At 43.0% G+C, this 21905-nt stretch overlaps 1 protein-coding gene across 7 annotated transcripts in view, besides 2 other annotated features; it reads left to right on the top strand.

Annotated features, from left to right (window-relative positions):
* Positions 1–21905, top strand: part of GRIN2A (glutamate ionotropic receptor NMDA type subunit 2A) — a 429505-nt gene that overhangs the window by 123323 nt on the left and 284277 nt on the right. The gene's annotated exons all lie outside the window — the stretch shown is intronic.
* Positions 19922–19971: a silencer, noted in NCBI's record as "silent region_7188". NCBI's record gives its function as "represses an Ori minimal core promoter by ATAC-STARR-seq in GM12878 lymphoblastoid cells {active_cell/tissue: GM12878}" and the evidence as "EXISTENCE:reporter gene assay evidence [ECO:0000049][PMID:35858748]".
* Positions 20400–20900: an enhancer, noted in NCBI's record as "H3K4me1 hESC enhancer chr16:10132543-10133043 (GRCh37/hg19 assembly coordinates)". NCBI's record gives its function as "activates a minimal SCP1, AML or CMV promoter by ChIP-STARR-seq in primed H9 embryonic stem cells {active_cell/tissue: H9 hESC(primed)}" and the evidence as "EXISTENCE:reporter gene assay evidence [ECO:0000049][PMID:30033119]".

The raw sequence follows: 21905 nt of genomic DNA, 5'->3' as shown, positions 1-21905 counted from the left end.
TGCTTCTGAACTTCAGAAATTTTTAGAACAAATTTGATTTTACCTCCAAAATATATCATCAACCTACCCATTTCTACCACCAGTCAAAGCCAGGGGTAGCTGAATCCTGCACTTGCATGGCCCTGAGAATGAGTTCTTCCTTGAATTCTGTACCCGTAGATGCCTCAGTAGCCCCAGCCCTGGATCAAGTCACCACTCTCTTACTTGGATGAATGCAATGGCCTCTAAACTGGTCTCTTCTATCAATTATCTTTTTCTTTACAATCCATTCTCTATTCAGTGTCCAAAGAAATCTTTTAAAACAATATAATGTAGATCTGTTATTCCCCTGCATACACTGCTTCCATGGCTACCCACTGCACTTAAGGCACAACTAAAACCTATTCCCATAGTCTGTGGGGCCCAGCACATCTGCAGCTGCTCCATCTTTGTCGCCATTTCCTCTGTCTCCTATTGCTATGTTCACTCCAGCAACATGGACTGTCCTCCTGTTCTTCTGATGCCCAAGTTCTTCTCCTGTTACAGGGCCTTTGTCTGAATCCCTCTTCCATGTATTATGATTCCCCATCCTGCTGCATAATGTGTTCATCATGGGTACCAACACCAGGTGAACCTCCCCTTTCCCCATATCACTCTGTTGATTCTTTTTCACAATCTATTGTTATCACAGCCTATAACTATCTTGTTTATCTGCTTATTGACTGTCTCTGCCCACTAGAATATAAGCTCATTAGGGAAGACACCACATCTGTCTTTTTGGCCTTGTATATTGCTAGCACTAACCATATTGTCAGGAATGTCAGAAACATTCAGAATTTGGGGGATGAATGAGCGAGTAAATGAATGGACAAATACATAAATACCTAAACATATAAATCACATAAACGGGCCCCTAAGGGGTCTGTGGATGGAACTCAGTGGTCTGTAAACTTGGATGGGGAAAAATTGCTTATTTTTACTTACCTCTAACAAAAGTTTTCATTCTTTTCATTTTGAATTGTAGCAAGAAATCACAGTAATAGCAGCTGTCTGATTTTTTTTCACCAAGAGAAATTACATATTTCTTATCACATTATCATTGTTGTAGATATTTCAGAATTATTTACTTTTGCCAAATTATTTTGAAATCATTGTAGTTAGTAGACACAGCACAGATCTTGTGATTTAGCATGTTAATACCGACATAAACATAACACAAGTTTGTTTTAAAACATCATTATGACTGTATTTTGATATAATTTGTTTTCTTTGTAATCTAGCGGTTTTTTTGTTTCTTTGTTTTTTGTTTTTTGTTTTTTTGTTTTTTGGTTTTTTTGTTTTTTGGTTTTTTTTGAGACAGTGTCTAGCTCTTTTCACCAGGCTGGAGTGCAAGGCTTGATCATGGCTCACTGCAACCTCTGCCTCCCGGGTTCAAGCAATTCTCCCGCCTCAGCCTCCCAAGTAACTAGAATTACAGGTCTGCACCACCACGCCCAGCTGATTTTTGTATTTTTAGTAGAGACAGGGTTTCAACACGTTGGTCAGGCTTGTCTCAAACTCCTGACCTCGAGTGATCCACCCTCCTTGGCTTCCCAGAGTGTTGGGATTACAGGCATGAGCCACCACACCCGGCCACGTATTTTATTTTACTTATTTGACAGCTCTGTTCTGAGAAGGAATTTGAAGGCTTCACCAGCCTGCCAAAGTGGTCGTTGGCACATAAAAGTCAAGATCTCTTAAAATGAACGAGTGATGTCTGCGCTTTTGTTTATTGAGGACCACGCTAAAAATAGGTATCCCTCCCATTACTTAACTGTCATTTATCCTTCAGTATCCAGGCAGACTTTTCTTCAAGAAAGCTTTGCAGTCTTCAGTGGACTCCCTGTCCTCTGAGAGTGTGTAGCACTTACCCAAAGCCCAATACTTCCCTGATCGTGTAAGCCTCTTTGGGAAGTGATTTTTTTTTTTTAACTACTTATGAGTTTGTTTTGTTTTTCCACCTTACAGAGGCTTTCTGTTACTCCCTAATCATAATTAGTGCCCTGTCCCCTGCACCCTTGTTATTTTCTTTGTAGAGCTGTATTTTTTTCCTTCATAGAATTCAACAAAATTGATAAATATATATTTACTTGTATGATTTATTTATTGTCTATATATCCATTTGGGAAGAGGCCTTGGATATTTTGCTCCTCATCTAGTGGAGGCCCCAGAACATTTATATTGGAAGGGCCTAAGTGCCACCAACATAGTTACAAGTGGCAGGAATACCTAGGGAACTTACCTTGAAGTTCAGTTTGCATAGCAAGCCCATTGTATTTACTTAGATTGTATTTATTCTTGAGGTCTGGTGATATTAGTGGGGTTATTAGCATATGTCAGAGGAAGAACCCATAATATCGTGCTACTACTGTTGTCGCCATTGTACACTTAGCACACAGAACAACACTTGGCACATAGACCCTAAATAAAGTATGTGTGAATGGATGAATGATGGATGGATGGGTGGATAGATGGATGCATGGTTGGATGGAATGAATGGGGAATTGGGTGGATGGCTGGATGGATGGGTGGAGGGATGGATGGGTAGAAGGCTGGAGGGGTGGAGGGTTGTATAGTTGAGAAGATTACTGGCTGGGGGTTGGAGAGATGGAGTAGTTGGTAGGGGAGGTGGTGTATTAGTTTCCTAGGGCTGCTCAACAAAGTCCTGCAAACTTCGTGGCTCAAAACCACAGGAATTTATTATATCACAGTTCTAGAGGCTAGATGTTCAAAATCAAGGTTCTGGCATTACTGTTCTCTTTCCAAGGATGCTAAGGGAAGACCCTCCCCTGCATCTTCTAACTTCTGGTGGTTGCCATCAACCCTTGGCGTTCTTTGGCTTGTAGGTACATCATTCTAGTCTCTGTTTCCATATTTATGTGGCCTTCTCCTTGTGTGTGTTCCTGTGTTTTCTCCTCTTCAGGACACCAGTCATTGGACTGGGGTCCAAATTCAGTATGACCTCATATTAATTTAGTTGATAACATCTACAAAGGCCTTCTTTTCAAATATGGTCATATTATTAGGTTCTGAGTGAGCATGAATTTTTGAAGGATGCTGCTCAACCCAATACAGGTGGTTAGAGGGTTGAAGAGATGGATGTATGAAGCAATGGAAGGTGGCTTAATGGGTAGGTGTAGAATGGGAAGGGAGGACCAGCCTGGCTGGAAGGGGAAGAGGATGGATTGGTAAAGGAGTTGTTGTATAAAGAGAAGGGTGAATGATTATTTGAATGGATGAGTGGAAAGATGTAGGGTTGAATGGATCAAGGGTGGAAAGGTGGATGAGTGAAAGGGTAAATGGGTGGAGGGATGAATGGTTGGTTGCTTGGATATATGTATGGGTGAATCAATTATATTATTAATTTCTTCAGAGTAGAAATTCTGGTACATGTATTTATCTTCTCTGTTATTAGTATGACACTGCATTTAGGAAATGCTCATTAAGTATTTGTTGCCTGGTTTTCTCTGCATTCAGAAATGCTGTTAACTGGAATGACTGCTACCAGCTGTCCAGGGATATGAACTTCTAGTGGGTGAGGGAGTGTATGTGTGAATTCATTTGGTGCAATATCCAGCCTGGAGCTGTCTCTAGCCTGGAGTATGCTTAGTGAAACCCTGAGAAAGAACTTAAATGTTGGGTATAATTCCTGCTGTTTAGGGAGTGACAAAAATGTACATGTATAGACACCACTATTTCATATTTCAATTATTATTTATTTAACATTTTAAACCTGATGGCAGAAAAATATGCCTCAGACAGGCACAATTGCTTTTATTGTTTCAGATTGGATGGGTAAATGTAGCGTGGGTGATCCTAAATTTGGGCTACATTGGTTTCTGTTGAAGCTTTTATCTTATTTGCCTAAGGAAGGGCTTAGTTGAATTTAAAAGCACCTATTCTGATGTTGTCTATTGAAGTGACTGAGTTTGCCAGTGCACTGTTAATAGGGAGTTTGCAGCTTGGTGCCAGATGGATTCACTTCATCAGATGTGACAAAGGTCTTCCCAGATGTTTTGTCTGCTCAGAGTATCCTTTTTACATTGATCTGGATATCTGCAGTGAACTAAGGAGTCTCAGAGAAGTCATCCTATTATTGTGTTTAAATCTTTTCTTTTTCTCTTTCAAAACCAGGATTTATCAATGGTGGAATATTTCAGACATGCTGATAAGTACAGAGAATAAAATAACAAACAACCATGTACTGACAATTCAGATTTAACAAATGTTAATATTTTTGTCACATTTATTTCAGATTTTAAAAATATAAAGATGCTGCTGAAGCCTGCCACCCTCATTTCATTCCCTTATCTCCTTCCTCAGAGGAAACCACTAACCTAAAGCTGATAAATGTGTTTTTCTATATGTACATGCAAACCTAGGGTATAATGGTATTAGTATGTTTTATGCTTTTTATAAACAGTACTATATTTTTCCAACTACTGTTTTTTTTTTCTTTTTTCTTTCTTTCTTTCTTTTTTCTTTTTTTTTTTTTTTTTTTTTTTTTTTTTTTTTTTTTTGAGATAGAGTCTCGCTCTGTTGCCTGGGCTGGAGTGCAATGGCGTGATCTCAGCTCACTGCAACCTCCGCCTCCTGGGTTCAAGCGATTCTCCTGCCTCCAGCTTCCTGAGTAGTTGGGACTACAGACGCGTGCCACCATGTCCGGCTAATTTTTTGTGTTCTTAGTAGAGATGGGGTTTTACCATATTAGCCAGGATGGTCTTGATCTCCTGACCTCATGATCCGCCCACCTCGGCCTCCCAAAATGGTAGGCTTACAGGCGTAAGCCACTGCGCCTGGCCCAAATTACTCTTTTTTACTCAGTATTATGTTATTGAGATTTATCTGTGTTTATAAATGTAGCTTTAGTGGATTTATTTTAACTATTTATATTTTAAATATCCACCCTATGGATGTATAAAAATTTTACTTATCCATGAACTGAATGATGGGCACTTTGTCATTAAATCAACGAAACACAGAACATCTTTGCACAGATGAGAAATTTTCTTAATGATATATGCCTGTAAGTAAAATTTCTGGGTCATAGGATGTGGGCATCTTCAACATCACCAGAGATTGCCAATTTGTTCTGCAAAAGGATTGAGCCTGTTTATGTTCCCACAGCAAGGAATGAAAAGTTGCAACCTTCTTATATCTCTTTAAATCTTTGTATTAGTCCTGTTCATTTTTGCTTATATGATAGATGTAAAACGGAATCTAACCATGGTCTTCAATTTGCATTTATCTTATTAAGAAGTTGAACATATTTTCACATTTATTGGCCATTTGGGTTTTCTTTTCTTTGGTTTGTTTTTCTTGAACAGTCATGTCAGAAGATTCATTTAATGTTTTTCCTCTGAAGATCAGCTTATAGTTTTATTTGGCTTCTTTTTTTTCGCTTGGTTTACTTTTGGTTTCTGCTTTATCCACGTAGGATATTTTCCTTTTTTTAGCTTTGTTTCTTTATTCTGTTCGGTTTTTTAAAATTAAATTTTAACTTCTTATTGTCACTCCATATTCAAATATATCCATTTATGGATGTATTAGATTGGTGCAAAAGTATTTGTGGTCCTTGCCATTACAAACCACGATTACTTTTGCACCAACTAATAATACAGCTCTTGTGTGGAGGTTTCTGCTTTATCCACGTAGGATCTTTTCCTTTCTTTGGCTTTGTTTCTTTATTCTGTTCAGTTTTTTAAAATTAAATTTTAACTTCTTATTGTCATTCCATATTCAAATATATCCATTTATGGATGTATTAGATTGGTGCAAAAGTATTTGCGGTTCTTGCCATTACAAACCACGATTACTTTTGCACCAACTAATACAGCTCTTTTACTGCATTTCATGAGTGACCCTGACAACAGAAGGACGTTGTAACAGCAGGTGGCAGGATGTAGACTAGGCAAAGTGGTCTAATCCTGGCTCCATTTTCTCCCCAGGGCAATCCACCTTAGTGCAACATTTGCCCTCCTAAAACTCCTATGAACTTGTCACCACCTGCTCAAAAGATACCAGTGACTCTGCTTCATTCGTCACTCACAGTCCTTAAGAGAGACGGTGTGTAGTGGAATAATTATGGGCTTCAGAGAGGCACACATTTCAGGTTTAAGCTCCAGCTCTTCTCTTGCTAGCTGGCTGACTTTGGGTAATTTAAAGTGGGAATATTCATAGAGGGTTGTTGTGAAGAATAGACAAGATTAGATTCTGATCTGTGGTAGATGTTCAACAAAATATATTATCTTCCTTTTAGCCTGACATTTAAGGTCCTGTAGATCAAACCACCTTTTCCATAGGATCCTCTGCTAGTCAACTACAGAAATCTTCTGTCTCAGTCATTTGATTTTCTTGCTGAATTTGGAAAGTTTCAGTTAAAAGCTTTCTGTCTCCATCCTACTCTTCTCCATTCACTGTTGTGGCCCTGAACAGTGGCAGAATTACTAGTGGGGCTTGTTCAAAGTTCAGATTCCCAAGTTTTACTCAGACTCACTGTCTGTATTTTTTTTTTTTTTTTGAGATGGAGTCTTGCTCTGTTGCCCAGGCTGGAGTGCAATGGCGTGATCTCTGCTCACTGCAACCTCTGTCTCCCAGGATCAAGCCATTCTCCTGCCTCAGCCTCCAGAGTACCTGGGACTACAGGAGTGTGCCACTGTGCCTGGGTAATTGTTGTATTTTTAGTAGAGATGAGGTTTCACCATGTTGGCCAGGCTGGACTCGAACTCTTGATCTCAGGTGATCTGCCCACCTTGGCCTTCCAAAGTGCTGGGATTACAGGTGTAAGCCACCATGCCTGGCCTCACTCTCTGTATTCTAAGGATAGGGCTCAGGATCTCCATTTAGGAGAAGCTCCCAGTTTGGGTGGAATTTGCTCTAGTGATTGAAGCTTCCTGCCTCAACAGATCTTTTCTTTATATCCAGCACAGGACCTACATTTTCCGGGAGGTCTTTACCGCCAGCCAGCCCTGGTCACACTTACCCTCCCAGCAACCTGAAGGCGGAATATCTTAGCCCACCCCTCTCCCTGGCTAGAAGCATCATTCATGTCCCCTGGGGCAGATGGCGATTCCTTAAGGACAGGGCCTAGGTCTTGGGGACTTGACCGTTCCTGTTGGAAGTTCAGTGCATGATATGTAAAAGGACTTAGGGTGAGCATGGGAAGGAGCACAGGCTTTGTAGCTGCCCAAGTTCAAACACCAGCTCTGCAAAACTGGCCCACGGGGCTCAGTCTCCTTAACTGTGAAGTGATGATAGCACATCCAACCCACAGGTCTTTAAAGGAAGATTAAATGTGATCAGCTCTTTGGAAAGTCATTTGTTTTTCTCTTATTCCAGATGGAGAAGAGCTTGAATTATCATGAGAATACATCTGTCATTGGGATCATCTTTGTGTTAATTTCCTCCTACAGTAGAATTTAATGACCTCTTGAATTTCCTGATGACAATGTTTTGGGCATGTGTGCCATTGTCTACTGGCCACTATCCTTGTCTTTCAGAGACATTTCCTTCCAGGCCATTATAATTCTGTAGTTTCCCCCTTGAAGTCTTCAGTAAAAGAGGTAGTTTGAGATCTCTCAGCACAAACAAGACTTTTTAGTATGTGACAGTGATCTGACAAATGAAAATGCATTGTTATGGTGCCCACGTAACAGTGCAAGTGTAGTCTTTACAAAATACCTACCTAATCCCATTACCCTTCTGCTTAAATGTCTGAGCTGGCTCCTGTGGCTGACAGGAGCAGGCCAGCCTGGCAGAGAAGGCAGGGTCTGGCCAGTCTCTCTGCCCCATCTTCTGTACCACCTGCACAGTATTGCACTCACCCTGGCATGCTCTGGTGACCGTTCCTGGTATTTTCTACCTCCTTGCTCTTGTACATGCAGTTCTCTCTCCCTGGAATACCCTTTCTCTTTGCCAAGTTGTGTGAATTCGGCAATATTCAATTCGAATGGTCCAGTCCCTGATACACCCCCTCAGACACACACATGCAAGGCAGAATTAATTCCTTCCAGCTTTGTATACTTGGAGCACTTTAAAAACTACTTTGAGTTACTACTCATTCATTCACTCAACAAATATTTATTAAGTGCCTACTATGAGTCAGCCATTGATCTTGGCTCTGGGGATACTCCTGTGAAAAGGCAATGCCCTGCACCCATGGAGTTTTTCTTCCCAATGTTTTATTACTACTCACTTACGACTGCCCTTTCCATCAGACTCTGAGACCCATGCAGGAGGTGTCTTGTTCCTGTCTGTGCACTTTTACAACTGACTGCAGTTATTTGAGCTTAGAATTCCATGGAGAGGAAAAACAGTCCCAAAGTACAGAGTGGGTGCTGAAGAGATTGCAGGGTGGAATAGTCATGACCTTATAGCACCAAAATCCCAGGAACTGAGTGTTGCACACAGTGTTTCTTATTGTTTGATCAACTCCCTTGACTTTGTACAGAGGACAAGAGGAAGAGTGTGGAGTTAAGCTGACTGCACTTACATCTACATCATCCTACCACCTAACTACATGGGGGGCCTGGGACATGCTCTCGAGTCTTAGCTTCATCATCTGAATAATGGGTCTCTTACTTTCCTATTGCTGCCATAACAAATTACCATGAACTTCTTAGCTTAAAGTGGCACATATTTATTATATAAATTATATGTTTTGGAGGACTGAAGTCCAAAATGGGTTTCACTGGGTTAAAATCAAGGTTTGTGAAAGCAGGGCTGTGCTCCTCTGTAAACTCTCAGATTATGATTCACTGTCTCTACAGCAGTGGTCCTCAATCTTTTTGGCACCAGGGACCAGTTTCGTGGAAGACAGTTTTTCCACAGACCGGGGTTGGGCTGATGGTTTTGGAATGATTCAAGTGCATTCCATTTATTGTGTACTTTATTTCTATTATTACATTATAATATATAATGAAATAATGATACAACTCATCATAATGTAGAATCAGTGGGAGCCCTGAACTTGTTTTCCTGCAACTAGATGGTCCCATCTGGGGTTGATGGGAGGTAGTGATAGATCAACAGGCATTAGATTCTCATAAGGAGCATGCCATCTAGATCCCTCGTATGTGCAGTTCACAATAGGGTTGGTGCTCCTATGAGATTCTAATGCTGCCACTTATCTGACAGGAGGTGGAGCTCAGGTGGTAATGCAAGCAATGGGGAGCAGCTATAAATACAGATAAAGCTTCACTTGCTCACCTGCCGCTCACCTCCTGCTGTGTGGCCCAGTTCCTAATAGGTCATGGACTGGTACTGGTCCGTGGCTTGGGGTTTGGGGATCCCTACTCCAGAGGTCACCTGTATTTGTTCCTTGGCTCCTGGCTTCTTCCTTCATCTTCAAGGCTAGAAGTGTAGCATCTTCAAGTCCTTGTCTCCCTCTGCCCTTTCTACCTCCCTCTTAGAAGAATACTTCTGATTACATTGGGCCAAACCAGGGACTTCAGGATAATCTCCCCATATCAAGATCCTCAATCACTTCTGTGAAGTCTTCTCGGCCATGTAAGTTAACATATTCACAGGTTCTTGGTATCGGGACATAGACATCTATTGGGAGACCTTTATTCTTCCTATCAGGTAGGATGGTATGGGTATGAGTATAAATATGGGAGTGATGATAACAGTGGCTTTTCCACTGGGTTATCAGAAAGATTCCAGGAGATTCATTTATTCATCCTTTCAGTCAGCAAATATTAATTGAAAGCTTCCTATGAGCTGGGCACTGCTCACAAAAAAATTGCACAAAATGTTCTGCCATTATAGAGCTTCCATCTTAATCAGGAGAGACAGACAAACAATTCATTATATAATGTATTGGAGGGTGCTAAGTATAATGGAAAAAAATCAGGAGGGAAGAGGACTGCGGAGTCCCAGGCAAGTTGTGGGCTGGTCGCGGTGACTCATGCCTGTAATCCCAGCACTTTGGGAGGCCAAGGCGGGTGGATCACCTGATGTCAGGAGTTCGAGACCAGCCTGGGCAACATGGTGAAACCCTGTCTCTACTAAAAATACAAAAAATTAGGTGGGCGTAGTTGTGGGTGCTTGTAACCCCAGCTACTCAGGAGGCTGAGGCAGGAGAATCGCTTGAACCTGGGAGGCGGAGGTTACAGTGAGCCGAGATCGCACCACTGCACTCCAACCTGGTCAACAGAGCAAGACTCTGTCTCGAAAAAAAAAAATAGTAAAAAATCAATAAATAAGGTGGTAATGCTGTGACAACTTGAGAAGGTAGCATTTGAGATAATGAGTCTAAAATGCTTAGCACAGTGCCTGAGATAGAGTAAACACAGAGCATTTAAATGTAAATTAAAAATAAATTTAAATAAATAGGCAATCCATCTCTTCATTGTCATCTCACCATCCATAAAACAAAACTCTGTTCTTTCTGGGTGGTATCATTCATTGAAATTCACTGGGCTTTTGCCAAGCGGAACTCTGATCTTTGGAAGGGTAATTTCAGTATGGAGTGTGTCATATCAGGAAATTAAAATACTGTTATAGATTTTCCTCCCCTCTGGCTCTCTTTTGGAATAGCAACGACTGGGAGGTAAATAGCTTAGAATAGAGACAGCAAGTTTCTGATGCATGAATGGGCAGGGGCTGGGGCCAGAGAGATCTCTCCCTCGGCTCCTTCCTCCACGTCAGCAGGAAGGAGGCTTGTAGAACTTGGCCCTGGAGCTTGCACTGATCCCAGCTGCCATGTAGAATAGCATTAGGAACAGAAACCCTCCAAGGTTGAGATGGAGAGAGGAAATGGGGAGAGAAGTCTTTTATGGGTTGAGACATTTTGAGCCCCTGTGGCACCAGCCCAAGGGAGGCCAAGTGTGGGGTATTACTGTCTTTCAGAATGGAATACTGCTTAGCCATTCAACAGCCCGAGGAATGCTCATTTCTGGAGGGCACAGACCTGGGCTATGTTAGTGTTTGGAGACACTAATATCTCTAGTCTTCTTCCCAGGCCAGGAGAGATTATTGAGCAAATGCAGACTTATTCAGGCATATTTCCTGAATGTTAATTCAAGTGGAGGAATCCAAGCAGTTTGCAGGCAACATGTCCCCACATATGTCTTCACTAACAAAGTCTGGAATTATCCTTTGGGCAAATAGAAGTTTTCTTTTTGCTGTTGACTGTTTTTGAAAATTAGATTCTTAAATAATTCCTGATATGTTGGCTTGAGGTAGTAGGCAGTTCTCCCAAGTCCTAGAAACTTGACTCTGGCTGCCAAGGAGACTAGGATTGATTACGAAGGAATTAAAAGGAATAATTGCTTACATAGGGCTTACTAAGTGCCAATCACGATTTTAAGTATTAGACAAATATTAACTCATTTAGCCCTTATAATAACCTTGTGAAGTGAGTATTATTATCTGCATTTTACATAAAGAAAACTGAGTCATAGGTGAAATAACTTGCCCATGGCTACAAAATTAATACATGTTTGAAAAGGGATTCTAATCAGGAAATATAACTATTGAGTCTGAACTCTTAATCATTAAAGTAAAGGGATAGTGTTTTAGTTGGGTCCCTCAGAAACAGATTGTGATTAAATATTGAATGTACCTAGTTTATCTGGGACATGTAGGGGGGTCACAGGCAGGGGAGACAGGAGGTGATAAAAGGAGAGGGAGCCCACCAGTGAGACATATGTTAGTAAGCCAGATACCAAGGTGGTGAACTGAAAGTTAACCCTGCAGGTAAGCTCTGAGATCAATGTAAAATGCACACCTGAGAATTATTCCTGCCAAGGAGTGGAGGAGCTGAGGTATTTATACTCCTGTGCCCATTAGTCATCTTTCAAAGGCTATTCCAGGGCAGAAAAGGATATATTAACTCTCAGACACTTCTGACCCACCATGCATGCTGGCAATGTGGGGTCCAATATTCAGAGGGGTTTCTCTCCTACAAAGATGAAGGTGCTGGCTATTGGGATTCAGGGTGGCTTTGCAGAAATGGTAAGAAGATCTGAGGCAGTTCAGGTGGAGCACCAACATCTATATCAGGTATGGGACTCAAGTCTGTAAGTTCATAGAACAAAGTAAAGAAGATTAACAGGAACTGAGGTCCTAATTCCTAAAAGCAGACAATAATCTTTAAACCAAGAACACAATAGTATGCAAAGCTAACATTTATTGGGTACTAATTGTTTGCCAGGCACTTTGTTAGGTGTTTTGCAGTCCTTATTTTACTGAATTCTGAAAATGATCTAGAGAGGTAGACTTTATCACCCCGATTTTCTGGATGAAGAAACTGAGATCGAGACAGTAACATCCACAAGCTAGCGGAGAGTGGGACCTAGATCTATCTGCTACCAAATAATGGTTGTGGTTGTTTTATGTTATAAAATAAATGATCATTTATAGAAGGATATAAATTACTTGAGGGCAGGAAACAAATCTTTTTATCTGTATGTCACCAGGGTGTACACCAATGGTTTTCAATGTGAAGTAATTTTATCCTTCAGGGACAAATGTTCTCTGTTTGGCAATGTGTGGAGACAGCTTTGGTTGTCATGAGTGAAGGTGAGTACTACTGGCATCTGGAGGGTAGAGTCCAGGGGTGCTTCTACACATCCTACAGTGCACAGAACAGCTTCCTTCCACACAGAATTAACCAGCTCCAACTGTCAACAGCACTAAGGTAGAGCAACTGATATACACAGCACTTAACATATAGTTAGGCTTAATAAACGTTAGCTGAAGTCTGAGTGTTGGGTGGTGAATATGTAGACGTGCCACCCTCTGAAGGGGGTGGTAGGGACTGAAAATGTAATGATACCCACAAAGCACTTGGAGTTTATTATGCATTTTCATACACACTATCTCATTTGACCATTACACAATCTCAAAAGGGTGCAGAATTTATGGTGTTATCAACATGGAAGAAATGAAGGAAATTAAGAGCTGTGTGTGTGTGTGTAGCTGCTGCTCAAACTTAGCTGTTTGCCTCAGACTCCAGGGCTCTTTAAACCATCCTATACGGCATTGGGATGCATTGAAAGGTGATGTTTTGACTACTAATAAGCGAGAGAAGCAAAGTAGGTTTGTTATGGAAAAGATGGGAAGGTGTTTATATTGGGATGCTTTTGGCTGCAAGTAACAAAACCCCAACTCAAATTTATGCCGTCAGTAATGAAATGAATTTCATTTATTATGTAGTGAAGAGTCTTAAGGTATGGTGACCCTAAAGTTGCTTAGGTTAACTGAGGAGCCATGGCTTTAAGAAAAAAAAAAAAACAATTTAAAAATGTATTTCATCCTTTTTTATTGGCTGCATCCTCAGGGTGGTGATAAGATGTGATCTAGATATGCCAGCAACCAGAAAGAGACACTTTCAGTTTTGTAGCTTCTTAAGAGTGAGAGAACATTTCTCAAAAGGCCTCAATATGACTTCCTCTCATGCCACATTGGTCAGAACTGGATCACGTGCTCACCCCTAAAACCATCACTGGCTAAGGCAATGGGGCTATCATATTGGCTTAGAGCAGTGGTTTTCAACTGGGGACAATTTTGTCTTTCCCTCCCCGAAGGGTAATAGTCTGGCGATATTTTTGGTGTTCACAGGTAGGTGTTTGTCGGGAGATGCTACTAATATCAGCATGTAGGGACCAGGGATGCTGTAAAATATCTTACAATGTACAGGACAGCCCACCCAGCAAAGAAACACGATCTGGTCAGTAGTGCAGAGGTTGAGAAACCCTGGCATAGGGCAAAAGAGATTTAATCCTGAGCCTCCTGTAGGCAAGTAAGCACTTGAACAAAATGAGGACTCCATCAGCTTGGAAAAGGGTGGCATGGAAGTTGGGTGGGGCACCCCAAGATGATCTGCTTCAGGAGGACTTTGCACATTTTTGATGACTGATGTCATAGGAGACAAATACAGCTCTTTTCTGCAAAACGTTTCTGGATGCCTCTGTCAGACAGTGCCATGGCCAGAATGGGCCATTGGTCTGACCCAGTCTGGCATTTCTTATCTTCATCAGGCTCACTGCCAAACCCCGAGGATAGGTTGTCACCTCTGGCAGAAGATCAGTCAGGATTAACTGATGGTGAAGCTGTGTCCCACTTTGAACCTCTCTCTCACGTAGCCAGAGCAGTGCAGATTCGGAGTCTTAGGAGCAGAACATTCGGGAGCCAGTGCAAAAAAAAAAAATTTGCAAGAGGCCTGAGAGAGAGCCTGCTGTACAAAAGGATGTAAACCAGCCAGAGACCCTTGGTAAACATAAGAAGGAAGAACATATTTACCTTGCTTCTATTTAGGGAAAGAAAATAATACTTTCCTGAAGGAGGCCATCTGTGTTATTAACAATAGTGCTTGGCAGTTTTGAGCTCGTGGGATACATTTTCCTGGCCAGATCTTACCAGAAATCCTTGAATCATGTCTGCACCCTGGTGATGGAAGGCACCAAGGAAGACTTCGGCCAATTGGCAAGGAACTGTCACCAACTTGAAGAAGCCTATGACATCAACTAAAGATCCTCCCCATCAAACATTTTCAAAAGAATATTTTGAACAGGCACAGGTTTTTTTTCTTTGCCAGGTGATAATGTACGGTAAATGTTTTATTCAAAAGCAGTGTCTTTGAATTGCTCAATAATTCCCTGGTCATTGATTAGGGAATAGTAACACATTTAACCCTTGACTAAATAGATCACAGTTGTCACACATTTATCTACAAATATTTGAATGCTCGCCTTGTACCCTGTGATTTATGTTAGAGATAAGAATGGTGAAAAAATCAATTTCTTGCCCTTGGTAACTTACAGTCTAAAAGAGGAATCAGATTCGAACACATGATTGGAATGTCGTGGGATGAGAGCTGTCATAACTGTTGTAGGAACACAGCAGACGTAGGCTATCCTTTGAATGATAAACGTGTGCATCCCTTTCATAACATTTATTGAGCATCTAGTATGAACCAGACATTGGTGCTTAGGGAATTTTTAACACATCTGATTGTCTAAAAACTTTTCAAAAGCAAATAATCATAAAGCAATAGGATGTATATTAAAGATATGTATAGAACACAATGACAGCCTAGATGAAGAATGACTTAATTTGGGAGTTAGGGAGTGGCATTAGGAAAGACTTCATAAGGACTCAGCAAAGACATCAACAGAGGAAAGAAAAAGCATAAAGGAGGGCAGGCAAGTCAAACTTTTCTGTGCAGCAAAAAGCCATGTACACATGATTTTAAAAATGATATTGTAGGCCGGGTGTGAAAAAATATTGCAGGCCAGGTGTGGTGGCTCACACCCGTAATCCCAGCACTTTGGGAGGCCGAGGTGGGTGGATCACGAGGTCAGGACTTCAAGACCAGCCTGGCCAACATTGTGAAACCCCATATTTACTAAAAATACAAAAATTAGCTGGGCATGGTGGCGAGACGGAGGCGGGAGAATTGCTTGAACCGGGACCTGGGAGGCAGAGGTTGCAGTGAGCCGAGATTGCGCCACCGTATTCCTGCCTGGGCTACAGAGTGAGGCACTCTCTGTCTCTGTCTCTGTCTCTGTCTCTGTCTCTCTCTCTCTCTCTCTCTCTCTATATATATATATATACACACACACACACACACGTATGTGTATATATATATGTGTGTGTGTATATATATACATATATATGTGTGTATATATACACACATATTTATACGTGTATATATATGTGTGTATATATATATGTGTGTGTATGTATATGTATATTGCAGCCCCCTTCCATTGATCAAGCAGTGGGCAAGTGTATATTAAGCATCAAATGCTGTAATATCTAGGCTCAGGGGCTGAACAAAAGGAGTATTTGGCACAGGAGTTTGACCTTAAGAAGGAGGTAGCTTGGCTGATGGGGGCAGGTTAAGATGCTTGAAACAATTTGAAAACCCTTCAGCACTAAGCTGTGTGGTTCTGGTTATCAGTACAGTGGGGGTTCAGAGCAGGGAGCCTTGACTGTGGGCTAGAATGGTTGCAGAAGCTTCCCTAGCTGAGATAATTGAAAGTTGGTGGCATCTTTGTAGGATACTGAGAAACAATACCATATATAGTGAGAAGTGGAAAATCACATCAAGACCTGTCCTGCTTTGGAAGGCATCATGGCAGAGGATAATGTTTAGCTCCACAAAAAGATAAGGAGGTAGCGAGTGAGCATTTAAAGTTTGGGCTTGCTGCTGATGTGATCCCGGCTGCCTTTCTGAGCAAATCCTGGGGTGCTTTCTTAGCGTGCCACTTTGATCATCAGCCTGGTGGGTTGGAACGAATGTCAACTTTGAGTTCAAAGGCCTGTACTGAATCCTAGCGGTGCCTCTCACTAGCTATGTGACCTAGGAAAAGTTACTTAACGGCATCAAGCCTCAGTTTCCTCATCTGTAAAGTAGGGGTGATAATATCTAAATTGTAGGATACTAGAGAGATTAGAAAGAATCTGTAAAAAGTGTCTAAGATACTACCAAATGTAAAATGCAGAGAGCCCATTACAAGTAGCTCCTTGAATGAGTTGGGGTATGTTTAGCTGCAAGTAATTATGAGAACCTTGACTCAAAGTAGATTATACGATGTATAAACTTATTATTTCACATGACCAGAAACTCTGACGTAGATCAAAGTTGGGGACTGATGGATTCAGTGGCCCAGTGGTATCAACAAGAATCCACCTTCTTCCCTTCCGTCTGTTCTACCATCCTTAGTGTTGAGTCTACTCATAGGCTGGTTCCAAAAGGGTTCCTGAAGTTTGAGGCATTGCATACAGACACAAATGTGGCAGAAGAGAGATTTTATCTTCCTATGGCCCCCTTAGGTGTGAGTTAGTAAATGTTTCCCCATGCCGCCTCCATCCCAACCCCAGCAGATTCCTCTTAATATATCATTGTCCGGGATTGGGTCAGCATCAGAACTATGTACTGATGGCTGTGTTGTGTATTAGTTAGCTATTGGTGCATAACAAATCATCCCAAAACTTAGAAGTTTGAAGCAACAAGCATTTATTATCTTACTGATTATGTGGATCATATTCGGGAGCAACTTAGTTGGGGGATTCTTGCCTAGGGTCTCTTGTGAGGCTGTGGTCAGTACATTGGCCAGAGGTGCAGTGATCTAAAGGCTGGACTGAGGCTGGAGGACTGGCTGGCATGGATGGCTTGTTTCCGAGGCTGCTGGCAGGGGGCCTCATTTATTGATTTTGAGAACCTCTCCGTGGGGCTGCTTGAAGTCCCTCATGTCATGGCAGCCAACTTCCTCAGAGTGAGTGATCCAAAAGAGAGAAGGCAACCACATTGCCTTTGTTGATGTCATCTCAGAAATCACACTGTCTTTTGTCCCCCACTCCATTCATGAGAAGAGAGTTGCCAAGCACACAGGGAGGATTAAGCTTTACCTTTTGAAGGAGGGGAGTATTGAAAAATTTGCAGACATATTTTAAAACTACCTTATGTGTGGTACAACAGAAATTCCATTGTTATCTGGTGGTCAGGGGGTGGAGTGCTTTTTTTGGAGCCACCTACAAGGTCTACCACACTATTGCTATTAATCACCTAAGGAACATTTATGGAGCCCCTACTGTGTGCAATCATTGCACAAGGAGGACTCAGACATGAGTCTTGCTAATTATGGTGTAAAGGGAGTGTAAGATGCACCGGGACTATATTGCGATATACAAAGCTGAATGTGGAAAGGAACAAATAAAGTACCAGGGGGTGACTGCAGATTGCAGAAGGAGGTGGTTTACTTCCAATTAGCATATTCATGGAAAGACTTCACTGAGAAGGTGGGCTTTGAACTGAGCTCAGCGGAGTAGGTTGGATTTATACACTCAAGGATGGGTATCTGGGTTGGTCAAAAGCATGGTCATACCAAAGTTATCAGCTAGCAATTATTGAGCACCTAGTCTGTACCAGACACTGAACATATATTATCTTTAACTCTTATTGCATCCCTGGGAGACAGGCAATATTACTCCCATTTTACAGATGAAGAAACAAGCCCGGAGACATTAAATGACCCCGTGAGACCATGTAGCTAGGAAGAGGCCCCACTCAGAGCCCTTACCTAAGAGATACTTGTGTTTTAAAGAACTGAGGGGACACCACCTTGCCTTAAGGAACTTCCCTAGCTTGTTCAAAGTAAGGCTTTTATATAACAATTTAGCTTCAGGGAGTAGGTACAGCAGAATGAGTAATCTCTTTACAAAAGAATTTGTCATTTTATTGAACCTTTACAGAAGATTCTCCTTAATTATCAAGCCCACACCCCACCCAATACATTGAAAATATGATTCAAAATTTATTAAGATTTACTTTGCACATCTTTCCCCCTGGAATTCCTACTCTGCGTTATACCTTTTGTAGGCTGGGTTGTTGGAAGAATTAGCTGGTAAAAATGAGCTTACGAAAATGGGAAGGTCTCATGGAAGAAGTGAAGTCTTACACATTCCCTTCACTTTTTTATGATAAAGGTGATAAGATTCATTAAAGTAAAAAGACATTAATTGCTGCTGATTAACATCTGGCACTCTACCCACTCAGACCACCACCTGTGTATTGGAGGTGAGGGGGTGCCTTAACCTGGGTTACTTTGCCAGGGGGCTTTGATGTCAGGTGGAGGCAGAGAAGGAAGGGCTTAGGATAAGCACAGAGAAAGCCACCTCTTCCAGCCTGCGGCAGAGGGGAGTGTTCCTGGCTGGGGCCGCTTTCGCAGAGCATAGATACGACGGCTCATCGGCACAGCTCTGACCTGCCAGCCTCCCCCACAGCTGCCTCCAGCCTCCAGAGCGGCTTATTCAGGAACAGAGGCAGATGCAGTGTCGGAGCGCAGCTGCGTGAGGGTTGCGTGGGTGTGTCTCCATGGGAGTGTGTGCAGTGTGCCTATGGTGTGTGTATGTGTGGTGTGAATGTGTAGGTTTGTGTGTGCACATGTGAGTGTGTGTGTATTTGTGTGTGTATGCTATGTGTATTTATGTGTGCGTAGTTGTGAATGTGGTGTGGATGTGTGTTTTGTGTGTGTGTGTGTGTGAATATGTGGGTTTGTATGTCTGCTGTGAGTGTGCAGCATTATGTGGTGTGGATGTGTGTTTGTGGTGTGGATGTGTGGTGTGAATGTGTGTTCATGTATTTGTGTGTGGCGTGGATTTATATTTGTGACTGTGTTCATGTATTTGTGAGTGTGTGTGGTGGTGTGTTTGTGGGTGTATTTGTGGTGTGGATGTATGTGTTGTGTGTTTGTACATTGTGAGTCCAGGGTTGTGAGTGCATGTTTGTGTGGTGTGGATGTGTGTTGTGTATTTGGATGTGCATGACGTGGATGTGTTTATGTATCTGTGTGTGTGGTGTGGATGTGTGTGTGGTGTGAATGTGTGTGTAGTGTATTTGCATGATGTGGATGTGTGTGTTCGGTGTATTTGTGGGCGTATGCATGTGCACTGAGTGAAGTTGCGAGTGTGTATGTGTGGTGTGAATGTGTGTAGTGTGTGCGGTGTGGATGTGTGTAGTGTATTTGTGTGTGTGGTGTGTGGATGTGTGTAGTGTATTTATGGTGGTGTGTGGATGTGTGTAGTATATTTGTGTGTGGTGTGTGGATGTGTGTGTTGTGTATTTGTGCAGTGTGGAGGTGTATTGTGTGTTTTTGTGGGTTGTGCTGTTTGTGGGTTGTGTGTGTTTGCATGTGCGCTGTGAGTGTGCTGGATTGCGAGTGTGTACCTGGTGAGTGTGTGGCTGCCGCACCCCTCCTCTGAGCGGTGTGGACCAGGACTCCTCTCTCTCTCTCTCTCTCTCTTTCTCCCCCCCCTCCCCCTCCCCCTCCCCCTCCCCCTCCCTCTCCCTCCCTTGCACATTTGCTCAGGCTCCTCATTGCTGAGGGAGGGAGGGGGCTTCTGCCCAGCACCTGGTCCTTCGAAAGGCCCCTCCCAGGAGTAGAGCGAGCAGCCGCCCCCGCTCCCGGGTGCGGACCCTCCCCGCGCAGACCCTCCCCGCGCCCAACGCCACCGGTCCCTCCCGCTGCTGCGCAGTCCTCGCTGCCCTCTGTTCTGTAGGTGGCAGCCTTGGTAAGCCTTGCTCCCATCCTGCCCCTAGGGAGAGGAGCTTCAGCAAAAGACTTAGAGTTTAGCGTCTCGATTTTCAAACAAACAACTCTATCTTTTACAGTTTAAAAATGAAAACAGAAGATCCAGAGAATGCGCTTTTAAACAAAGCCACATTTACCTGAGACCCTGGGGATAGAGAGCAGGTTTTTGGTGCAGGTTTGGAGTGCAGTTCATCCCTGCCCCCGCTACGAATGCACATTCGCATTCGCCTTTGAGTCGTGAGCAAGAGAGCATCTGAGAAAACACGCTAGATGCAGCCAAACCTCTTTAAACCCTGGCACCAAGGAACAAGAGTGGGTCCCCCCTCTGCCTTTCTTTTCCACTCACTGTCTATCATCTAGTTGATCAACAGACATCAGTGGGGACATTGGGGGGTGGGAGGGGATGTCTGCTCCCTGCCGGGCGGGCACTGTGCTAGCGTCAGGGGCACAAAATAGAAGCAGACCTGGTTTCAGTCTGATGTGGGAAAGAGCTAAAGTAAACACGCAGTGAATTTGCTGCTGTTTGGGGGATGAGGGGGCCAGGGGGCTTCCTGGAGGAGGTGACACTGCCCTGATTTTTGAAGGACTAGTTGCAATTATCTAGGCCAGGGGACATTTGGCAATATCTAGGGTGGGTTTTTGTTTTTTTTGTTTTGTTTTGTTTTTTGTTTTTTTTTTGAGAAGGAGTCTCATTCTGTCGCCCAGGCTGGAGTGCAGTGGCGCGATCTCGGCTCACTGCAAGCTCCGCCTCCTGGGTTCACGTGATTGTCCTGCCTCAGCCACCCTAGTAGCTGAGACTACAGGCGCCTGCTGCCATGCCCGGGTAATTTTTTTTGTGTTTTTTATAGTAGAGACAGGGTTTCACCATGTTAGCCAGGATGATCTCTATCTCCTGACCTCGTGATCTGCCCGCCTCGGCCTCCCAAAGTGCTGGGATTACAGGCGTGAGCCACCGCGCCTGGCCGGCAATATCTAGGTTTTTCTGTTGTCCAAACTGGGGATAAGGTGGAGTTGCTACTGGCATCTAGTAGGTGGAGGACAGGGATGCTTGTAAATAACCTACAGTGTGTGCAGGACAGCCCCCTCCAATGCAGAGTTATCCAGCCCCAAATGTTCGCAGTGCTGGGGTTAAGAAACACAGGTCTAGACAAGAGGAGGAAAAGTGCTGTGGTTTGAATGTTAGCGTCCCCCTAGAATTCATATGTTGAAATCTTGATCTCCAAAGTGATAGGCTGAGGTGGGGTGGAGCCTTTGGGAGGTGATTAAGTCATGAATGGGATTAGGGCAAGCCAGGCAAGGCAAAAATCTCTAGACCCTTCCACTGTGAGGACACAGTGAGAAGGCAGTGCCTGTAATCCAGGAAGCTGACCGTCACCAGACACCGAATATGCTGGCACCTTGATCTTGGACTTCCCAACCTCTGGAACTGAGAGAAATAAAGTCTGTTGTTTTTACGCGCAGTTTATGTGTTTTGTTACAGCAGCCTGAACAGACTAAGGCAGAAAAGCATTCCAGGGGATTATGATGTAGACTGGGAGGAGCTGCAGACAGCTGGGTTTGTCTGGAAGGACTGCTGGGTGTGGGAGAGGGCTTAGAAATGGGAGTAGAGCCAGGCACAATGATTCATGCCTGTAATCTCAACAATTTGGGAGGCTGAGACAAGAGGATTGCTTGAATCCAGGAGTTGGAGAGTAGCCTGGGCAACATAGCAAGACCCTGTCACTGTAATACAAAAATTAGCTGGGTGTGGTGGCATGCGCCTGTCTCAGATACTCAGGAGGCTGAGGTGGGAGGATCACCTGAGTCCAGGAGGTAGAGGCTGCAGTGAACTCTGATCACTCCGCT

The sequence above is a fragment of the Homo sapiens genome, chromosome 16 (assembly GCF_000001405.40).
Source record: "Homo sapiens chromosome 16, GRCh38.p14 Primary Assembly".
Taxonomy (NCBI): domain Eukaryota; kingdom Metazoa; phylum Chordata; class Mammalia; order Primates; family Hominidae; genus Homo; species Homo sapiens.
This window is presented reverse-complemented; position numbering and strand designations above follow the sequence as displayed.